The sequence below is a fragment of the Homo sapiens genome, chromosome 20 (assembly GCF_000001405.40).
Source record: "Homo sapiens chromosome 20, GRCh38.p14 Primary Assembly".
NCBI lineage: Eukaryota > Metazoa > Chordata > Mammalia > Primates > Hominidae > Homo > Homo sapiens.
In genome coordinates this window covers 17,564,940-17,586,267 of record NC_000020.11, presented here as the reverse complement: position 1 = coordinate 17,586,267, position 21,328 = coordinate 17,564,940, and the positions used below count along the sequence as shown (strand labels likewise).

At 41.9% G+C, this 21,328-nt stretch overlaps 2 protein-coding genes and 1 pseudogene across 3 annotated transcripts in view, besides 3 other annotated features; 2 read left to right on the top strand and 1 right to left on the bottom strand.

The window, feature by feature from the left end:
* DSTN (destrin, actin depolymerizing factor) overlaps positions 1–16,193 on the bottom strand; it is a 39,845-nt gene extending 23,652 nt beyond the window's left edge. For both annotated transcript variants that reach the window (NM_001011546.2, NM_006870.4), the window contains exon 1: positions 16,057–16,193. Coding sequence is in view for 1 of the 2 variants with exons in the window: in NM_006870.4 (NP_006861.1) it covers positions 16,057–16,059 (3 nt within the window). In the remaining variant the exon portion in view is untranslated. The remainder of the gene's footprint in view (positions 1–16,056) is intronic.
* RN7SKP69 (RN7SK pseudogene 69) lies at positions 9,759–9,988 on the top strand (annotated as a pseudogene).
* Positions 15,753–16,042: a silencer, noted in NCBI's record as "silent region_12690". NCBI's record gives its function as "represses an Ori minimal core promoter by ATAC-STARR-seq in GM12878 lymphoblastoid cells {active_cell/tissue: GM12878}" and the evidence as "EXISTENCE:reporter gene assay evidence [ECO:0000049][PMID:35858748]".
* Positions 16,063–16,252: a silencer, noted in NCBI's record as "silent region_12689". NCBI's record gives its function as "represses an Ori minimal core promoter by ATAC-STARR-seq in GM12878 lymphoblastoid cells {active_cell/tissue: GM12878}" and the evidence as "EXISTENCE:reporter gene assay evidence [ECO:0000049][PMID:35858748]".
* Positions 16,663–17,230: an enhancer, noted in NCBI's record as "H3K27ac hESC enhancer chr20:17549683-17550250 (GRCh37/hg19 assembly coordinates)". NCBI's record gives its function as "activates a minimal SCP1, AML or CMV promoter by ChIP-STARR-seq in naive H9 embryonic stem cells {active_cell/tissue: H9 hESC(naive)}" and the evidence as "EXISTENCE:reporter gene assay evidence [ECO:0000049][PMID:30033119]".
* BFSP1 (beaded filament structural protein 1) overlaps positions 17,048–21,328 on the top strand; it is a 75,316-nt gene continuing 71,035 nt past the window's right edge. Inside the window, exon 1 of the mRNA NM_001278608.2 lies at positions 17,048–17,097. The gene's annotated coding sequence lies outside the window, so the exon portion shown is untranslated. The remainder of the gene's footprint in view (positions 17,098–21,328) is intronic.

Here is a 21,328-nt window from a genome sequence, read left to right as displayed (position 1 = left end):
AATTTTTTGGTTTCCCTGTGCATATAAAGGTTGTAGTCTATCAAGTGTGCAATAGTAAGTTCTATTAGTTTTATCTAAGGTAGAGAAAATGACTGTTTCAAGGATTTATGAGCATTAGAAAGAGGAAAAAATCATTCTAATATTCTGCCCCATCCTTAACTGAGACAAGAAAAAATTAAAATATATCTCTCCAGGGAGACCCTCTCTCGGGCGACCTGTTTTCTCAGCATAAGGAAGCTTTCTCTCTCTCTCTCTTCTTTTTTGTCTATTAAACTTTCTGCTCCTTAACCCAGAAAAATAAATACATAAATAAATAATAAAATAAAATATACCTCTCCACTGGGGAATGGAATAAAATTCAGCAATAAAATAGAACTGCTGAGGCACAAATGCTTTATGCTGAGTGAAAAGAAGCTAGACTCAAAGTGTATCAATGTACAGTTCCATTTACATGGCAAAGGTAAAACTATAGAGACAAAAAACAGATCAGTGGTTGTTGGGGATAGGAGGAGGGATTAATGAGGAATTTTTTGTGTGTGAAGGAATTATTCTATATTTTGACTGTGGCTGTAGTTACACAACTATATATGTGTATGTATATATATGTGTGTGTGTGTATATATGTGTGTGTACATATATATGTGTCAAAACTTCCAGAACTTACAGCAGAAAGGGTGAATTTCACTTTATGTAAATTATACTAAATTAGATATATAATTTTTATTTCAAGGTGAATAATACTTTCAGTATTCTACTCTTTGAGAAACAGCATATTAACCAAACAGTAAGCTAAATGTGAAAAATTTCTCCTTGGTTTAACAAGCTGTCTTAGTTCTCTCTGGATGGTTAACTAGCAAATCAATAAATATGAAACAGATTTGATATTGCTGGTTAACTAATCTACCTGTTTCCCAGTCACACCTAGTTTTCTAAGCCCTGCCAATTCCTCCTTCAATGTGTATTTCAAATCTATTCCCTCTCATTTACTCTCAAAATCTCCTATCACTCCCAAGATTAAGTCTTTAACAATTCCCAAGCACCCACAAGATAAAGTCCTTATTTATTAACAGACCATAAAAAGCACTTTATTGTGTAAACCAACCTACTTTTCCAGATTTGTCTTCCACCACAGGCAACCCTATTTATTACTCATTAATATCTTTTAGAAAGCAATTTGGCCATTTATATCATAGAGCCTTATAATAATCCATACCCATTGACCCTTTAACCCAGTAACCTCACTTCTAGGAATTTATTCTAGGAAAATAATCTACATAATACTAAAAAAACAGACAGCCCAAAGAAATAAAAACAGGAGAACTGCAAAGTAAATGATAGTATATCCACAGGATAGTTCCTGATGCAGCTGTTAAAATCATGTTTATGCCAAGTTTTGAAAAGCATGTGGGAAATACTTATGACTTACTTTCAGTGAATGAAGAAGCTGGATATAAAGTTACATGTACAGTATAATCTCAATTATGAAAAACAGTACAGAAGAAAAAGAAGTTCCACAATTTTATCTCTAAAAGTGAGGCTATAACTGATTTTTATCTTCTCTCTAGTTTTCTATATTTTCTAAGTTTTCTCTGGTAAGCCTTTTTTTTTTTTTTTTGAGACGGAGTTTCGTTCTTGTTGCCCAGGCTGGAGTGCAATGGCGTGACCTCGGCTCACTGCAACTTCCGCCTCCTGGGTTCAAGCGACTCTCCTGCCTCAGCCTCCCGAGTAGCTGGGATTACAGGCATGCGCCAACACGCCCGGCTAATTTTTTTGTATTTTTAGTAGAGATGGGGTTTCTCCATGTTGGTCAGGCTGGTCTCGAACTCCCAACCTCAGGTGATCCGCCTGCCTCAGCCTCCCAAAGTGCAGGGATTACAGGCGTGAGCCACTGTGCCCTGCAGGTAAGCATATTTTTTTATATTAGAAATACACACACCTTTTTGATTCAGTGATTTCATACCTAGGACTCTCTTTTGAAGAAATGCAAGATTTATGCACAAGATGACAGAGTATTTCTTATAAAAATAAATTTAACATGAGGGTGATGTACATGCATGATATTATTAAACAATTTAAGTAGTTTTTACAGATATATTCTATATACCATGAAATTTACCCGTTTAAAGTGTAGTAAATTCAGTGGGTTTTCAGTATAGTCACAAAGTTGTGCATCCATCACCACCACTTCCTAATCTTAGACCATTTTGAACACCACAAAAAGAAACCCTGGGCTGGGTGTAATGGCTCATGCCTATAATCTCAGCACTTTGGGAAGTTGAGGCAGGAAGATCACTTGAGTCCAGGAGTTCAAGACCAACCTCGGCAAAATAGTGAGACCTCATCTTGACAAAAAAACTTTTTAAAATTGCCAGGGATGGTGGTATGGGCCTGTAGTTCCAGCTATTCAGGAGGCTGAGGTGGGAGGATCACTTGAGTCAGCGTGGTAGAGGCTGCAGTGAGCTATGCTCATGCCACTGCACTCCAACCTGGGTGACAGAGACCTTGTCTCAAAAAAAAAAAAAAAAAAAAAAAGAAACTCCAAACCCATTAGCAGTCATTCCTCATTCCCACTCCCACCCACCCCAGCCCTTACTAACCACTAATGTACTTTCTGTCTCTATGGATCTGTGTATTCTGGACATTTTGTATAAATGGAATCACACAATATGTCATCTTTTGGGACTGGTTTCTTTCACTTAGCATATTTTCAATGTTCATCCACGTTGTAGCATGTATCAGTATTTCATTTCTTTTTATTGCCAAATAATATTCCCTTCCCTTGCATGGATATACTACATTTATCCATCTATCCATCAACTGATGAACACTGGGTTATTATCACTTTTGGCAACTATGAATAATAATGCTATGCACATTTGTGTACAAGTTTTTGTGTGGACATACATTTTCATTTTGCTTGGATATGTAGGTAGGAGTAAACTGCTGAGTCATACGGTAGCTCCCAAGTTTAATTTTTTCAGGCACTGCCAAACTATTTTCCAAAATTACTGCGCCATTTTACATTCTCACCAGCAATGTATGGGTGCTCCAACTTCATAGCCTGGCCAACATTTGCTACAATAATCTTTTCATTATAGCTGTCTTAGCAGGTACAAAGCAGTATTTGCGGTTTTGATCTGCATTTCCCTAATGGCTAATGATGTTCTGCATTTTTTTCCATTGGCTTATTAGTCATTTGCACATCTTTAGAGAAACAGCTATTCAAATCCTTTGCCCAAACAAGTGGGTTTTTGATTGTTGAGTTGTAAGTCCTTTAATATATTCTACACACAAGCTCCTTGTCAGGTATATGATTTGCAAACATCTTTTCCTATTCTGTGGGTTGTGTTTTCATTTCCTTGATGGTGTTCTTTGATGAACATTTTTGAATACAATGAAGTCCAATTTATCTATTTTTGTCACTTGTGCTCTTGGTGTCATTGCCTAGAAAGGCCAGGAAAACTACCAACAAAAATTGCCTAACACAAGTTCACAGAGATTTATACCTATGTGTTCTAGAAGTTCATAGCTTTAGTGCTCACATTTAGATTTATGATCCATTTTAAGTTAAATACAACATACAGTATGAAGCAGGGATCCAAATACGTTCTTTTGCATGCGGATATCCAATTGTGCCAGCACCATTTGTTGAAAACACTATTCTCCCCCCAACTGAATTATCCTGGCACTCACGTCACACTGGGAAATGGGAAATACAGTTTTATCCTTTATAGATTAACTCAAGTGTGTGAGAAAAATCTATATTGGCAGTCTCCAGATAGTCACTCTCTCATTCCCTTATTTTCATCATAATACGTATAAAATCTGCAATTATCTTATTTGTTTACTTATTTCTTAACTGTCTCTCCCATTAGAATGTATACTTCGGGGCCGGGTGTGGTGGTTCACACCTGTAATCCCAGCACTTTGGGAGGCTGAGGCAGGCAGATCATGAGGTCAGGAGTTTGAGACCAGCCTGGCCAACATGGTTGAAAACCCATCTCTACTAAAGATATAAAAAATTAGCGAGGCGTGGTGGCGCGCACCTGTTAATCCCAGTAGTCAGAAGACTGAGGCAGGAGAATCGCTTGAACCTAGGAGGCGGAGGTTGCAGTGAGCCAAGATCACGCTATTGCACTCCAGCCTGGGCAACAGGGTGAGACTCAGTCTCAAAAAAAAAAAAAAAAAAATGTATATTTCATAGAGACAGGGACTTTTTCTTGTATATTATTGAATCTCTAGAGCCTACAACAACAGTGCCAGGTTCCTAGAAGGTAGTTAATAATTACTTCTTGAAAAAATGAGAATATATATTAAATGGCTTAAAAGAAAATGTCCCAAATGTTAATACTTTGGTTGGAACTGTCATTACAGCTAAATTTTTCTTAATGTTCTACAATGAATATATACTACTTTTATATAATCAACTATGAAATTATGGTATTTTAAAGATTTATAAAACTTTTGAATCAATTTTTTTATTCCTCAAAATTCTAAGAACCTCAATTTATGCTAAACTATTTTGTTTTAGTTCTTTTATAGGACCTCAAGCATAGTGACACCATCAAATATCTGGTAGATCAGGTCTAAGCCTTACGAGCCATCTTTGATAGTCTTCTTTCCCTTATGCCACACATCCAAATTATCATTAAGTCCTTCCAGCTCTACCCCCAAAATATATATCCAATCTTACCACCTCTCATTATTAACAAATCTTAATTCAAGCTACCACCATCTACCATCTGAATAAAGCAATAGTTGGTTGTGTTGTTGTTTGTTTGTTTAGGGACAGGGTCTCGCTTTGTCACTCAGGCTGGAGGGCAATGGCGTGAACTTGGCTCACCATAGCCTCGACCTCCTGGGGTCAAGTAATCTCCTGCTTCAGCTTCCTAAGTAGCTAGGACTACAGGTACGTGCCACCATGCCTGGTTATTTATGTTTTATTTTTTGGTAGAGACGGGTTCTCTCTATGTTGCCCAGGGTAGTCTTTAACTCCTGGCCTCAAGTGATCCTCTCACCTCGGCCTCCCAAAGCATTGGGATTACAAGCATGGGTCACCACACACAGCCAGCAATAGTTTCTTAATTGGTCTTTGTCCCCATTTGTATGTCTCTACACATCAACCACAGGGATAAATCATATCTCGCTCCACTACACTACTTAACACCTCCCCACCATCACACACCCAATGGCTTCCTGGTGTCATCAGAATAAAATTCAAATTCCTCACCTTTGACCTAATGGCCCTTTCTGGTCTAGTTCTTGCCTATAATCTATTTTCTACTTATTTCCCCCTTGTTGACTGAATGCTAACCACACAAGCCTTTTTTCTGTCCCTGGCAAATGTCAAGCTCATTCTCTTCTACAGGCCCTTCTACTTAAGAGTTCCTTCTGCCCTAAATGCTCTTCACATAGCTAGCTCTTTATTGCCATGTAAGTCCTACCTCAAAAGAGGCCTTCTCTAAATTCTAGCTAAAGTAGCCCAACTCTTCCAGTACTTCCCATTTTTTTTTTTTTTTGAGACGGAGTTTCACTCTTGTCCCCCAGGCTGGAGTGCAATGGCACGATCTCGGCTCACTGCAACCTCCGCCTCCCGGGTTCAAGTGATTCTCCTGCCTCAGCCTCCCAGAGTAGCTGGGATTACAGGCGCGTGCCATCACACCTGGATAATTTTTGTATTTTTAGTAGAGACAGGGTTTCACCATGTTGGCCAGGCTGGTCTCAAACTCCTGACCTCAGGTGATCCACCCACCTCAGCCTCACAAAGTGCTGGATTACAAGCATGAGTCACCACGCCTGGCCTTAGTACTCCCTATTGATTACCTTATTTTCTTCATACTACTTATCACCAGCTGAAATGATCTTGTCTTTTTTGTCTCTTCCTCCATATCAGATTGCAACTTCCATGAGGAAAGAACTTGTTTCCCTAGTGCTTGGACCAGTTCTTGACATACAAAAATCTCTCAAATATTTGTTGAATAAATGATTGTTATTCTAAACATTGAGGGCAATGCAAAACTGTCTAGTTCTCCATTAATTACTCCAGGAAAAATATAACTAAGAGTGTAAAATGATATTTTTACATCAAGAATCAAGTCACTTGAAAATTCAAATTAAAAAGTTGATTATATACAATGATTCCAAGTAAAATAATATTAAAGAAAGAATAAAACTATTGAAACACATTCTAATGCACTCCTCCAACTCTTTTCATTTGCTCTACAACTACTGAGGCACACACTGGTGTCATCAGAATATAAAGATGAATACAGGATATAAAGATGAACAAAACTTTGAACTATTCTAAAGATATATCCAGTTGGGTAGAGATAACAGATATAAGAAAGAATCCTATATATGATTAATGCTGCACCAGCAGCAAGCTCTCCATGCATTGACAGCCCAGGAAATGAGTGATTCTGTATGAGACATGATGACAAAAGGGAGGTGTCATGTCAGGCAGGTCTTCCTAGAGCTGGCCCTTGAAGGATAAACTGCCTTTTGATTAGTCAGGCAGGAATCCCTTTTTAATGAGTTAAATAAATGATTCTGGCTTCTTCCACTTGGATAGCAAGTAATAACAAAAGACTATTTACCTAATTAGATCTAAGCTTGCCACCATTTATTTTAGCTAACACTGATAAACTGATAAGCACTTTACTACCTGCCACTGCTTTTTTTGGGGGGATCAGGGTCTTGCTCTGTCGTCCAGGCTGAGGTGCAGTGGTGCAACCTTGGTTCACTGCAGCCTGAAGCTCCTGGGCTCAAGCAATCCTCTCACCTCAGCCTCCCAAGTAGCTGGGACCACAGGCATGCGCTGCCACACCTAGCTTTCCTTTTTTTTTTGGTATTTTATGTAGAGACTGGGTTTTGTCATGTTGCTCAGGCCGGTCTCGAACTCGTAAGCTCAAGCGATCTGCCTGCTTTGGCCTCCCAATGTGCTAGGATTACAGGCATGAGCCTCCACACCTGGCCTGTGCCACTGCTTTAAACTAGTTACATGCATCATTCATACTGTTGTGGTGGTAGGTACTATTATTATTCCCACTTGGAAGAATGGTGAAATTGAGGCACAGAATGTGTCAGGAACTTACCAAAGGTCATACAGTTAGTGCAAGTGGCAGAGTCAAGATTTAAAAAAACCCAGCAGCCAGACACTGAGCACATGCTTTTAATGTGGCAGTACAGTTTAACACAAATAATATCTATCTCAATGAACTGCTATAAGGGTTGAATGAGATAAGGTAAATACTTATAAGTTAATGTAAGACAGCATTACTTCTTGCTTTTTTTTTTTTTTTTTTTTGAGATGGAATTTCGCTCTTGTTGTCCAGGCTGGAGTGCAATGGTGGGATCTTGGCTCACTGCCACCTGCACCTCCCAAGTCCAAGTGATTCTCCTGCCTCAGCCTCCCAAGTAGCTGGGATTACAGGCATGAGCCACCACACCCGGCTAATTTTGTATTTTTAGCAGAGGAGGGGGTTTCAGCACATTGGTCAGGCTGGTTTCGAACTCCCGACCTCAAGCGACCCACCCACCTTGGCCTCCCGAAGTGCTGGGATAACAGGCGTGAGCCACCACGCCCGGCCACTTCTTGCTCTTTCATTTGTTAGGCTTTTGAGCGCTTTTCTATGGTTCAGGATGCCTCAATGAGCATGAAATTCCACGGTTTCATTTTTAAGGAAAGAAAGGAAACTGGCATTTATTGAGGACTTTCAATATGCCACAATCACTTTAAAGGTATTACTCTAATAACTGCCTTAACTATCTTGAAGGATTTTTACTTGTAAGACTCAAAGTAAATTATCATGCAGTATACAAAGGGGAGGTACTATTCAATTAATTCAATACTTAAAACCCAATTTCCATTACATTAAAAAAGGTATGTGGGAATAGAAGGTATAAAAATTAAAGGACTCCACCTCCATGGGAACCTGTCCTTTGTCATAATTAAGAATACCCTCTCCCATTCACTCATTCATGTTCATTCAGTAACATCTATGTGGGCCTACTATGAGAGTGGTATCTTGCTACTGGAATGTACGATCCCCATCTTAAAAGAGCTCAATAGTCTAGTTTCATAAAACATCTTAAGTCCTATAAAGAAATTCATATGCTATCTCAGCATCGTTTCTTGGACATGTGCAGAAATGCAGAGAATTTAGTTGGTACACACACCAACTTCCCATTACAAATTAAGTAGGCCAACTCACAAAGTCTTAGGTTGGTCCAATAAAGTGGCCACTAGCCACATGTGACTTAACGAGTCCTTTAAATGTGGCTAGTGTGACTGAGGAACTGTATTTTCATTTAATTTTAATTAACTTAAATTCTAAAAATTTATTCTTATCCATTACTGGAAAACTTGTAAGTAGGTCTGGAGCAACTTGAGTATATGAATCTACTTTTTCAAATGTAAATTTTATCATATCTAAATACAGATCAAGTATTTCCAATGAAAATTTAGCACCTGAATTGACACGTGCTTTCAGTGTAAAATATATACTGGATTTCAAACAATTTATATGTAAAATTTCTCAATTTTTAAAAATATTACTAGAAAAGTTAAAAGTATATTAAAATATTACTAGAAAAGTTAAAAGTATATACATAGCTTGTATTTTCTTTCCATTTGACAACACTGGCCTAAAGATGAAATATTCTTATAACTAGAGTATTCCTCTAAAGATTTTTTTTTTTTGAGACAGGGTCTTGCTTTGTTGCCCAGGCTGGAGTGCAGTGGCGTGATCTCGGTTCACCACAACCTCCGCCTCCCAGGTTCAAGCAATTCTCCCGCCTCAACCTCTCAAGTAGCTGGGACTACATGCACCTGCCACCATGCCTGGCTAATTTTGTATTTTTAGTAGAGATGGGGTTTCTCCATGTTGGTCAGGCTGCAGATTCTTACAATGATTTGAGAATTCCTCAAAACTCCTGAGCTTCAACAACTGACTTCAAAGATTGCTCCAGGGCAAGTTGGAGAAGCCTTACCTGTATTTGCCTGTGCTGTGCTTTAGTGTTAGTTCTATTACTACAGGTTAAGTACCTTCCGGTACCAAGCATTTGATTTCAGATATTTTCAAATTTTGGAATATTTGCATATACATAATGAGATAGCTTGGGAATAGGACCCAAGTCCAAACACAAAATTCATTTGTGTTTCATATACACTTTATACCCATAGCCTGAAAATTATTTTATATGATATTTTAAATAATTCTATGTGTGAAAGTTTTGTCTGCATTTTGACTTGTCGCATGAGGTGAGATGTAGAATTTTCCATATGTTGGTGTTCAAAAAGTTTGGGATTTTAGAGAATTTTGGATTTTTAGATTAGGGATGCTCCACCTGTACATGAAAATAGCAACAGAAAAGTTGTGAAACCATTTTAAAATAAACACTAATTACATTTACAAGCTATTTTCTGAAAGCAAGCCAAGATAGAAACAAGGGTAGGAAATTCATCCTTGCTTTCCTGTGAGAAGGCAAACAGAAATAACAACCTATGAAGTAATGTAAAAATGTTCAAAGGAGTAAACAATCTTCCTTTGATGTGATCCAAAAGCACAAACACAATGACAAATGACCTTCCAGGTGTAGAATGAACTTAAGTTTCTATCTTTCAAGCACTCATCTATGCCGTGCTGCAACAGACGTTCTCAGTCTTTTCACACCTTCAATTAGAGATTACTTTGTTAATTTTAAAACTTTAATTGCATTTTTTACTGAAATCAATTGCTTTTAAAAAATCTACGTATGATGTGAGGGCGATCTGGCTGCAACATCTGTCACCCCATTGATCACCAGGGTTGATTCGGCTGATCTGGCTGGCTAGGCAGGTGTCCCCTTCCTCCCTCACCACTCCATGTGCATCCCTCTCAAAGCTATGCACTCGGTCAAAGAGGATGACCATTCCTGATAGAGGAGAACCGGTCTTTGGTCAAGGTTATATGAGCAGCTGCGCTCCCCTGCTAGAACCTCCAAACAAAAAATCTACGTAAAACATAACAAAGCAAAACATGGAATAGTGTTGGCAGCATGTAAGTATTACAGTATCAGCTTCTAGAAGACTAATCTTGGAGCTAAGAATCACTCTAAATATTCAACTCAATGGGGGTCTTAGTACAGCAGATTCAATGATGAATATAACATTTTGGCCCAAAGTATTACTGAGATGAATAAAACCGATGTTTATTTGTCTAAGTCTATGCCTCTCCCAATTGTAAAATTTCAAGAAAAATGAGCAGGAGGTAATTCAGAAGCACAATTCCAAGTGAAAACTTCTCACTTCCAACATCAATGAAAGGAGGCATGAACAGAAGAAAAGTTGTGGTTACAATATTGCTGAAGTGTTAGGTGTAAATCTTTGTGTATGACTTTCATGGACAATCTAGACAGAAATGTTATGCCACAAGAGAAGTAAACTCAAGATACTTTCACGGCTGGGCGCAGTGGCTCATGCCTGTAATCCCAGCACTTTGAGAGGCCAAAGTGGGTGGATCACTTGAGCCCAGGAGTTCAAGACCAGCCTGTGCAAACATGGTGAAACCCCATCTTTATAAACCCCGTCTTTATATATAAATTTATATTTATAAATCCCATCTTTATATATGTAAAGCTTTTAAAATACAAAGCTTAGCTGGGAGTGGTTGTGCCTGCCTATATATAGTCCCAGCTACTCAGGAGGCTGAGGTAGAGGACTGACTGAGCCTGAGGGTGGACGATGCAGTGAGTTGTGTTCACGCCCCTGCACTCCAGCCTAGGTTAACAGAATGAGACCCTGTCTCCAAAAAAAAAAAAAAATGCTTTCACAATATTCTACTTATTTATTATGCTCTGTGGTTTACATATGCAAATGACAGTACAACAAAGAGACTAGCTCTAGTTACTCAGAGACTAGAGTGTTGTTCTGTGGACAAAATCAACGCATTTGTATGTTAAATTCAGTTTTTCAAGACTTGCAAGTTTTTTTTCAAATTTCAAATGTAGTGTGCTTCATCTCAAATATTACTGAAAGAAAATATAAAGTTACATTAACATAAAAACTCAAAAATTTGAAGTCTTCCTGTATACTAAGTTAAACACAATTTTGATTTAAACAAATTCTATTTATGAAAAATAGTCACTAGGCACAATGGCTCATGCCTGTAATCCCAACACTTTGGGAGGCCAAAGCGGGAAGATTGTTTGAGACCAGTCTGGGCAATGTAGCAAAATCTCATTTCTACAAAAAATTTTAAAAAGTTAGCTGGGTGTGGTGGTGCACATCTGTAGTCCCAGCTACTCCGCAGGCTGAGGTGGGAGGATCATTTGAGCCCAGGAGATCAAGGCTGCAGTTGAGCTCCAGCCTGGGTGGCTGCAAGAGAGTCTGTCTCAAAAAAAAAAAAAAAAAAAAAACAAAAGAAAAGAAAAGAAAAAGAAAAGAAAGAAAAAAGAAAGGAAAAAAAGGAAAGGAAAGGAGAAAGAAAAGAAAGTCAGTCATGTTTACTTGTTTTGCATGTTTGTTTTTTAGACTTTTAATTTTTTTTTTTTTTTTTTTTTTGAGACTGAGTCTCGCTCTGTCACCCAGGCTGGAGTGCAATGGTGCGATCTTAGCTCACTACAACCTCCGCCTCCTGGGTTTAAGCGATTCTCCTGCCTCAGCCTCCTGAGTAGCTGGGATTACAGGCACGTGCCACCACGCCCAGCTATAGACTTTTAATTTTTTAGAGAAGTTTTAGGTACACAGCAAATTTTAGCAGAAGTGCATTGTTCCCATATATCTACTGTGTGTGCTTTTACATTTTGGCTAGAAGAACTGCCAGGAAAGAGAGGGGTAAGTGTAAAGTGAAGGACATTAATCTCCACAGCCCTTGGCAAAGAAGGAAAGAACTCTGTCCTAAGTCACTCTACATTCTACCACTACCAGGGGCCTAAAAATGGCAGGTGGATAGAATTAACAGAGAGTATTGAACTTCTGGTAATTAGCTGGCTAAGGGGCCTGGAAAGAAATTTATGTGCCAGAAAAGAGAAATATTACTCCTCAGTATGAGGTTCTGGTATTGATAATCATGTTCTTGTTTTTTGAGACAGGGTCTCCCGCTGTGGCCAGGCTGGAGTGCAGTAGTACAATCATAGCTCACAGAAGCCTCTAACACCCAGGCTCAAGCAATACTCCCACCTCAGTCCCCCAAATAGCTAGGAGTATAGGCACATGCCAGCATGCCCAGTTAATTTTTATTTAATTTTTTTGTTCAGACAAGGTCTCACTATATTGTCCAGGCTGGTCTCCAACTCCTGGCTTCAAGCAATCCTCCTGCCTCAACCTCCCAACGTGCTGGGATGACAGGTATAGGCCACTGTATCCAGCTGATTTTTTTTTTTTTTTTTTTACTGCTACATTTACTTTATGGCTCTGCAAATAAGCTTAGGTGAAGATGGTAAGTATTTACAGAATGGCCAGGTTTGCAGGATGCAGCATGCGTGTAAAAACCTAAGATGCAATAAACATATGAAAAGAGTCAGCTCACTAGTAATCAAAGAAATGCAAAATAAAATAATGAGAAACCATTTCACAACCATCAGACTGGCAAAGGTTTCAAGTCTCTTATTAAGTGGTGAAAGGCAATGTAGAAACAAGCTGTTAATGATGAGATACAACCAGAACGAACCAGTAGTAGAGTAGAAAATATGTATGCTCCAATCCAGGGCTTCCGCTTCTAGATATACACCATGGAGAGATACACACTGGGGCTAGAGAAGTAATATATAGCAATATATGACATGGAAATTGCCTATTATAAAAACTTTAAATAGACCAAAAAAAGGCAAAAAATTAGGAAATGGCTGAATGTCTATCAACAGGGGAATGGATAAACTTGCACAATCATACAAAAGAACACAATTCAGCAGTTGAAGAACCAAAGCTACAAATAAATCCAAAAGCTGCCCTCCCCTGGGAAAAAAAAAACCACCCCCACAAAGTTTAATTTTTTCTCACAGAGCTGCAAAAGGATACATGAAGCACAGTATTTACGTAAGTTTTAAAAGCACATCAAGGCAATACATATGAATGATTAAGTAGCTAAAAGTATGGAACTATCAATGAATATCAATTTCAGGTGACTACTGTGAACTTTACCTGAGCTCTGTGTTCTCAGAAAGCAGTGATGGTTAATCCACCCCACCGTTTTGTGTTCTGGGAAACAGGTAACTGCAAAGAACTGGCCTGTTGCATATTTTCAAATAAGGCAATCAGGAATGCTCTCCTAATTGCAATAGCCTGAATAAAATCATCTCCTTAACCAGCCAGGATATTATGTCTTTGACACAGGAATGGTTATAACTCTAGGGAGGGAAGGGAGTGGGATGAGGAAGATGATGCATATTTAGCTGTAATGATAACATAAAAACCTGAAATATGGCAATAAGATAGCCCTGTTTTTCCTGTACAAAAGGATCTGTTATTCTGTGTACTTTTCTGCTTAAAATGTTTCAAAATTATTATTTTAAAACTTGGAGTTGGAAAAGGTGATTTGTCTCAAGTCAATTAATCCTTTACAATCTGTTTTCTCATATGTTAAATAGGCATGTGAATACATGCCCAACCTATTTCACTGGGTTGTAGTGTTTTTGCTAATCACCAAGTATTAGAATACTTGAATACTGCGCCAATTAGTTCAGTCTGTGAGACCACAGTCCAGATTAGGATAAGGTTAAGGGTTAGATTATCGTGCAAACCTTTTAACTCTACTTCAGGGGCAAGACTACACTCTTACTTTCCAAGAAGCATAAAAGATACTCTGGTTACAAGAGGAGCTAGGCAAGTCTAGGTGTGATGTCTCAATCCATATCCAGTAGAACTACTGAGCAAATAACCTTAGTAACTTGATGATGGGCTACTAAACAATCTCTGTATAAGGAGGCTGGCACACCCAGTACACACACACACACGTTTTGTTTGGGGTCTGTAATTGTGGTTCACGTGGAGGCAGACGTTGTTTGTTTTTTGTTGGAGGAGACATCTGAAAACATCTAATCTCATCCTGAAGCGCCCAGCTGGTTTCAAACTGCTTTATTTCAGGTGCTTCTAAAAGACTTGGTGAGTACAAGGAAGTGATTCTGCTAATTTAGAACAAACCCATCGGTAGTTAAAATTTAATCTTAAAAGAAACTTGGAACCAAGCATCTAACCAAAAGAGCTAAAAGCAAAGTGCTAGACTCTGGGATAATACCCACAATATTCTCTAATCACTGAACTAAACAAAGATGCTCCTGCGCTCATAAGGCTAAAAACAAAAATAACCTTTAAAAATGGGGGGTCTATAATCTGAACTCTAAGAGTAACTTGTAAGGTCTTCTTGATCTCCCTAAAGCCAACAATTTTGAAGCGTATTTGGAAATCGCTCATTTCTAATTTTTATTTCTCCCACTCCTCACAAGAACCAGGAAATATAACAGACCCTTCCTTCCTTGAATTTAGTTAAGCTTTAACTAAAACTAAGCATTTAACTAAAGGTAAAATGTTTGGTCTCTTATTTTCAAACAGAAAAATAAAGTCTGTATTAGCCACTCAATAAAAAAGCATAATGTCAAATCAGAAGTCTCTAGAGCAGACCCTAGTCAGCTTCAAAGCACTTTCACAGAGTGAATGGTCTTAAGCGTACCATAACTCAAAGCCCCTAGATTAAGTCTTTCAGTATAAAGTAGCATATACATTTAAAATGTTATTAAATTTCTAATAATTAGATATTAAAAAGACTCAAGATGCTGATACTTTGTAGCTTACAGCATTAAACCAAAGAAGAACCAAAAACTGAACAGTATCAAATCCCTATTACATACATATCTACAGTCATCAAGAAACTACCGGTTTATCTTTTCTTTCACTAAGGGGCCGCCTGCATGTTCACGGAAGTTGTAGTAACTTAAGAAAACCAAAACTGTTATACAGTGAAAACAGTTTGTATGCAGATAAGCTGGTACCAACTGCTTCTAGACAGATGCAATTACAGTGTAATATTTCTAGCAAAGTCTGGTAAGGCTACGCCTGCAAATCACTGACCAAAAATGGTAACAGTGTGTGCACACTAACGAAAACGACAAAATGTTCCAACTGATAGTTCAGTTGAGAATACGTTTTTAAATAGCTAATTAGAGTGACAGTGTAAAGGGGGAAAATATGTAAATTAAGCAAAATGTCCATCATATAGAATATACTAATGAGCACCTGTTTACTTTCTGGTGACTCCAGTATTTTAATGGTTTTTAAAGCTCTTAAATTTGGTTGTATCAGCATCCCAGCATCATGCCCACACCTTGCGCACCAAGTTCTGGCAGAGTCCAACTGTCTACAGGTCAGAAAAAAAATTCTAACCATACACGGACAGATCGGGCAGGGAAGGGTTAAAACAGACACTGCCAAGCTTGACAAGCACGACGAGAGTGCTGCTGGAAGCCGATTGCCAGATAAAAAGAAAAAAACAAAGGAGCTGCAAGGCCACCCCGTTCTAAATCATGCCAGGATCCTGCTCGTTAGCGATCATTCCGTGCTCTAGGACTGTTCCATAAAGGCTTTATCTTCCTTATTGAGATGGACAGACCTCAAGGGCTGGAACGCGCACAAGTCACCAAGCGCCTCAGCGCCAGCTCTGGGGAAACCCACGCCAACAAGGACGGTGGCCGGATTCCGACGCCCCCCGCCCCCCACTCCCCGGCCTCGGTGTGCAGACCCCCGGATGGATTTCACAGAGCGGGTGGGGGCGCTCGACCCCAGCCAGTTGTTGCAAGGCCGGGTCTGGAGACACCCGCAGAGGCCACGCTCAGGGCGGCGGCCTCGCCCCAGCTGGGAGCTGCGCAACAGCCGCGGATCCACCCCGGGGCGCGGGGGCCCAGCCAGGACGGCGGGAGACGGAGGCCCAGAGACCCCCCCTCACCCGCAGCCCGGACACTGCAGCCGGACCGGGTCCCTCCCCGGGCTGAGGCACGGCTCACCCCCTTAGCCCCGACTCCGCGGCGCCCCAGAGACACACTGCTCCCGGCCGCCTCGGCCCACGCCTCGGCCTCCCTCCTACTCACCATCTTCGCCGCGGCGGTCGCAGGGACGCGGGGGAGGGAGCCGGCGGGCAGCGAGTATGCAGACCGTCCTCCTCACGGCTGCGGGACCGAGAGACCCAGCGCTGAGCTGACGCGGCGGCGCGAGCTTACCCCGGGGCGGGCGCGCCTCAGGACGGAACGCGGCTGCGCACGTCACGCACCGCCTGCCGTTGCTACGCAACCAGCCGGCCAGGCAACGCCCCCCCGGCGGCTATCCAGAGTCTCGGAGGGGAGCTTCCCTCATCTGCTGAAGGCTGCGGGGCAGGGTCCGCCTCACCAGAAAGTGTTTAGGGGTGGGGGTGCGTCCTCTCTGGTCTGCAGGAGGCTAGAAGGCGGACTGGGCTGGCTCCTGCTGGCGAGGGGCGGGCAAAAGATGATGGGGGAGGGGTGGCCTTCCTTCGCCTCCTCGGCGGGGCCACCTGACGCCCCACCCACTGTGCAGGCATGGCCCGCGCGGGGAGGCAGCCACCTGGCCAGGTGTGCCTGCCGCTGGGGCGGGGCGAGGCCGTGGAGGGGAAAAGGAGGGGAGAGCCGGGGGAGAGGGGTACAGAGTGTGGGAAGGAGGGGGATTTGGAGGGGAGAGGCGAGGGGCACATAGTTGGGGGAGGAGGAGGATGGAGAGGGGAGGGAAGAGGTGAGGGAGAGGGGACAGTGTGGGGAGAGGAGGGGGATGTGGGGGGAGGGGCGAGGGGGCACTTAGTGGGGGAGGTGGGGGCAAGGGGAGAGGTGAGGGAGAGGGACACAGTGGTGGAAGGAGAGAGATGTTGGGGGTTGGGAGGGCAGGGCCCGAGGAGGGGGAACGCACTGGGGGAGGACCCACGGGAGCGGAGTCGCGGGCCGCGGCAGCGGGGACGCCTCCCGCATTTTTTACCTACTTTGGTGCGATTCCCGCCGCCCTCCCCTGATTGGCCCAGTCTGGCTTGTCCTGCCCTCGCGTGAGGGGAAAAAAGTCTGCACATTTTTCCTCCTTCCCGAGGCGACCGTGGCCATGCAGAGTGCTCTGTGAGTCACCGTTAATTTCAGGTCTGGAAAAACAAGGAGCATTTATTTATCTTTGGGAACTGCCGGGGAAGGAGGCCGGCGGCGCGCAGGGGTGTGGCTGGGAAAGGCCGCGCTGTCCCGGGACGGTGGCGCCAGCCCCGCCGCTCAGTTCTCCGGGTTTTTAATTTGGAATTGTGTTTTTCTAATGGGCGGTTGCGTCGGAAACACGGTTTTCAGAGGGCCCAGATGAATCCCAGCGTTTTTGCTGCGGGTGTTTTTGTGGGAAATAAAGGGAACAAAGAATTTTATAAATTAATTTAGGTTACCGAGAACATCATGGCCTCGACCAAAACTATTTTAATTCTCCAAATATGAGACTTTTGGACAAGATGGTCAGTATTTTTTTTTCCGGCACTACGTAAAATCTAGGTTGTATGTGGCTTTTGTTCTGCCCCACTCAACATAGGAACCCATTTCTCATTACCCTCGTTCTTTTTAAAAAAGACAGTAAGTTGTGCAGTTCTAAGCCTTTACCACCTGAGACATGATTTTTGGCGGGCTAGAGCAGTGGTTCTTTAGCATGCATCAGAATCACCTGGAAAAGTTGTTCAAAGCTAGATTTGTGTGCCCCATCCCCAAGGTTCCCTCACTGCTTCTAAGATGATGCTTGAGAATGGGCATTTCTAACAACTCCTAGGTGATGCTGAAGATGCCAGTCCGAGACCACACTCCTGAACTGAGAAGGAACCCCCCTGTATCCTCCTGCAGCTGGAACCCTTTGCTTTTCTGCCTGCCTAGGACCCTGTGGCCCTTACACTTCTTAATATTCAGACTTCCTTTCTAGTCCAAAAGTGAATGGTGCTCATTTAAGGATACATGCCTGCCTGCTTGCTCCAGCCTCTCCTGCATTTCGTCCTCCACTCTGCCACCAGAGTTAGGTCCAAACATAAGACTGGTCTTGTTACATTCTTGCTTAAAATTTGCTGTGGCTTCCTCCATAACCCTCAGCAGGTCAGTCTGGCCCGTCTGCCTCTGGCCTCAGCCTACTTTTTCTGCCCTATCTCCCATATCTTCCTAAGTGCCCACTGCCCCTCCCAGACGAAACTTCTCATTCCAGAACACCTCTTACTAGTTCTAACTACCTTGATCATGGGCCTGCTTATTTTTTCAGCCTGGGATGTTCCTATCACCCTTCGCATCTGAAGACTTCTCTTACCACTTCCCAAGGATCAATAGTAGTTCCTTCTTTTTTTTTTTTTCGTGCCCCGTACCCCTTACAACTCCTTCACCCCCCTAGTTCCTTCTATAATCCCAGAGTTCATCACTTCTCAAATCTTTTTTTTTTTTTTTTGAGACTGAGTTTCACTCTTGTTGCCCAGACTGTAGTGCAATGGTGCGATCTCGGGTCACTGCAACCTCCGCCTCTCGGGTTCAAGCGATTCTCCTGCCTCAACCTCCCGAGTAGCTGGGATTACAGGCATGCGCCACCACACCCGGCTAATTTTGTATTTTTAGTAGAGATAAGGTTTCTCCGTGTTGGTCAGGCTGGTCTTGAACTCCCGACCTCAGGTGATCTGGCCACCTTGGCCTCCCAAAGTGCTGAGATTACAGGCCTTAGACACCGAGCGCCCGGCCACCTCTCAAATCTTAATAAAGATCCAAATCACCTGAGATCCTTGTTAAACTGCAGATTCCGGGGTTGAGGGGTGGAGTCTTAGATGGCCCCAGGAGATGCAGATGCTATACTTTGAGTTAGGAGGTTTCATGGTTTTTTCCCTACAATTACTGTAGCTCTGTAATTATTTATGTGCATTTTCCATTACTACCAGATAGCTGGGAGTTCCTTGAGGTCATGGGGTATTTAAGATGCGTATGTATGAACTGGCATAGCCCCTGATACATAGTAGGTGTTTAATAAGTATTGAATAAGTGAACCAGTATCTGAAGATGTTTTACAATTTATCAAACTTATATATCAGTTTATCATAACTTAAGATGAGCCCCCATTTTTTTTAGGTCCCACTGAACTTCAGCCTCTGCATTTAACACCCAGCTTTTCTAGACATTGACATTCCTCCTCTCCACACGGAGGGAAAGAGTTTTCATACAATGCTATAGACTAATAAAGATTTATGCCCTCCGGAAGCTGAAAGGTAATCCCCAATGTGATGGTATTTGAAGTTGGGGCCTTTGGACAGCGATTAGGCCATGAGAGCAGAGCCCCCTTTAATAGGATTAGTGCCCTTATAAAAGAGGTCCTAGGCCGGGCACCGTGGCTCACACCTGTAATCCCAGCACTTTAGGGGGCTGAGGCAGGTGGATCACGAGGTCAGGAGTTCAAGACCAGGCTGGCCAAGATGGTGAAACCCCGTCTCTACTAAAAATACAAAAATCAGCCAGGCGTGGTGGCAGGCACCTGTAATCTCAGCTATTCAGGAGGCTGAGGCAGGGAATTGCTTGAACCCAGGAGGCAGGGGCTGCAGTGAGCTGAGATCGTGCCACTGCACTCCATCCTGGGCAACAGAGCGAGACTGTGTCTCAAAAAAAAAGAGGTCCTAGACTACTGCTTGCCACTTCCACCATTGTGAGAACACAGCAAAAAGGTTCATCTATGAACCAGGAAGTGGGCTCTCACCAGACACTGAATCTGCTGGTGACTTGATCTTGGACTTCACAGCCTCCAGAACTATGAGAAGTAAATTGCTGTTGTTTGTAAGCCACCCAGTTTATGGTATTCTGCTATAGCAGCCTGAACAGACTAAGACACATAAGGTCTCTCCTTAAATATGAGATTGGTATATTTCAATTTCGTTTAGAAAACATTTTGCATACTTAATCTGTGAACATATAGGCACTTGAATTTAAAACCATTAATATAAGCGGCAGGGAAGAAGAAATGATACATTAACGAGGAGCCTGAAGAGAGATGTGTATTAATAGATAGGCTGGGGAAAGCTCCTTTGCTGGGAGACATAACACTGTCAATATACAGCATAGAAAAAAACTTTTAACTCCTCCCTCTCCACAAATTCACCTATTTCCTATCTCCTATCCCTATTTATGTCAGTAGTCTTTTTTTTTTTTTTTTTTTTTTTGAGACGGAGTCTTGCTCTGTCACCCAGGCTGGAGTACAGTGGCAGGATGTCAGCTCACTGCAACCTCCGCCTCCTGAGTTCAAGCGATTATCTTGCCTCAGCCTCCCGAGTAGCTGGGATTACAGGCATCTGCCACCATGCCCAACTAATTTTTGTACTTTTAATAGAGATGGGGTTTCACCATGTTGGCCAGGCTGGTCTCGAACTCCTGGCCTCAAGTGATCCGCCCGCCTCGGCCTCCCATAGCGCTGGGATTACAGGCGTGAACCACCATGCCCGGCCGTCAGTAGTCTCTTTTAAAAATAACTTAATCCTCTAAGACACAAGTGTAGTTTTATTGTAAAAGATTCAAACAATACAACAAAGGAAAAACCCCTTTGAGCACCTTCTCTCTTTTCCCATAATCCCAGTCCTCTCCTCAGAGGTAACCACTGATGTCAGTTTGCTGTATGGACTAACAGAAATAGACCTTGGGCATATGTTTTGTGTTTCGTTTTTATTGGTGTTCTGTGTAATGGTTTTATGTTGGTTATGTAGCATCTTGTAACTTGCTTTTGTGCAGTTAATGATTGTCCTGGCAATCTTGCCATTATCAATAAATCATTTCTTATAATTGCTGCAAGGTGTGACTGTTCATTCATTTAACTTTTCCCCTACTGATGGGCATTTAGGATATTTCCAATCCTTTGCTTTCACAAACGGTTCTTCAGTGAACAGCCTTGGGACTGGCTTCTTTGCATACATGAGCTGGTAGACTTCTCAGAAAATTCCTCCCATAAAATTACTAAGTCAAAAGGAATGCATAAATTTTATTTCACTAATTACATATTGCCAGATAGCCTTCTAAAAAGGATATACCAATTTATAATCCCTCCTACAGTAGTTGACAATCTCATCTACTTACTCTCCACTGACAGTTTATTCAAAGTTTGAGGAATTTTAGAACAGGCAAAACTATAGTGAAAAAAATCAGAATAAGTGTTAAATAGGGTGGGAGTGGAGATTGACTGCAGAGGGGTCTGACAGAGCTTTCAGGGGTGATGGTCATTTTTTTTTTCTTACTTTGTTAGGGGTTCAAGTTACATGGGTATACAGGAGGCAGAGGTTGCAGTGAGCCAAGATCACACCACTGCACTCCAGCCTGGGCAACAGAGTGAGACTCCATCTCAAAAAAAAAA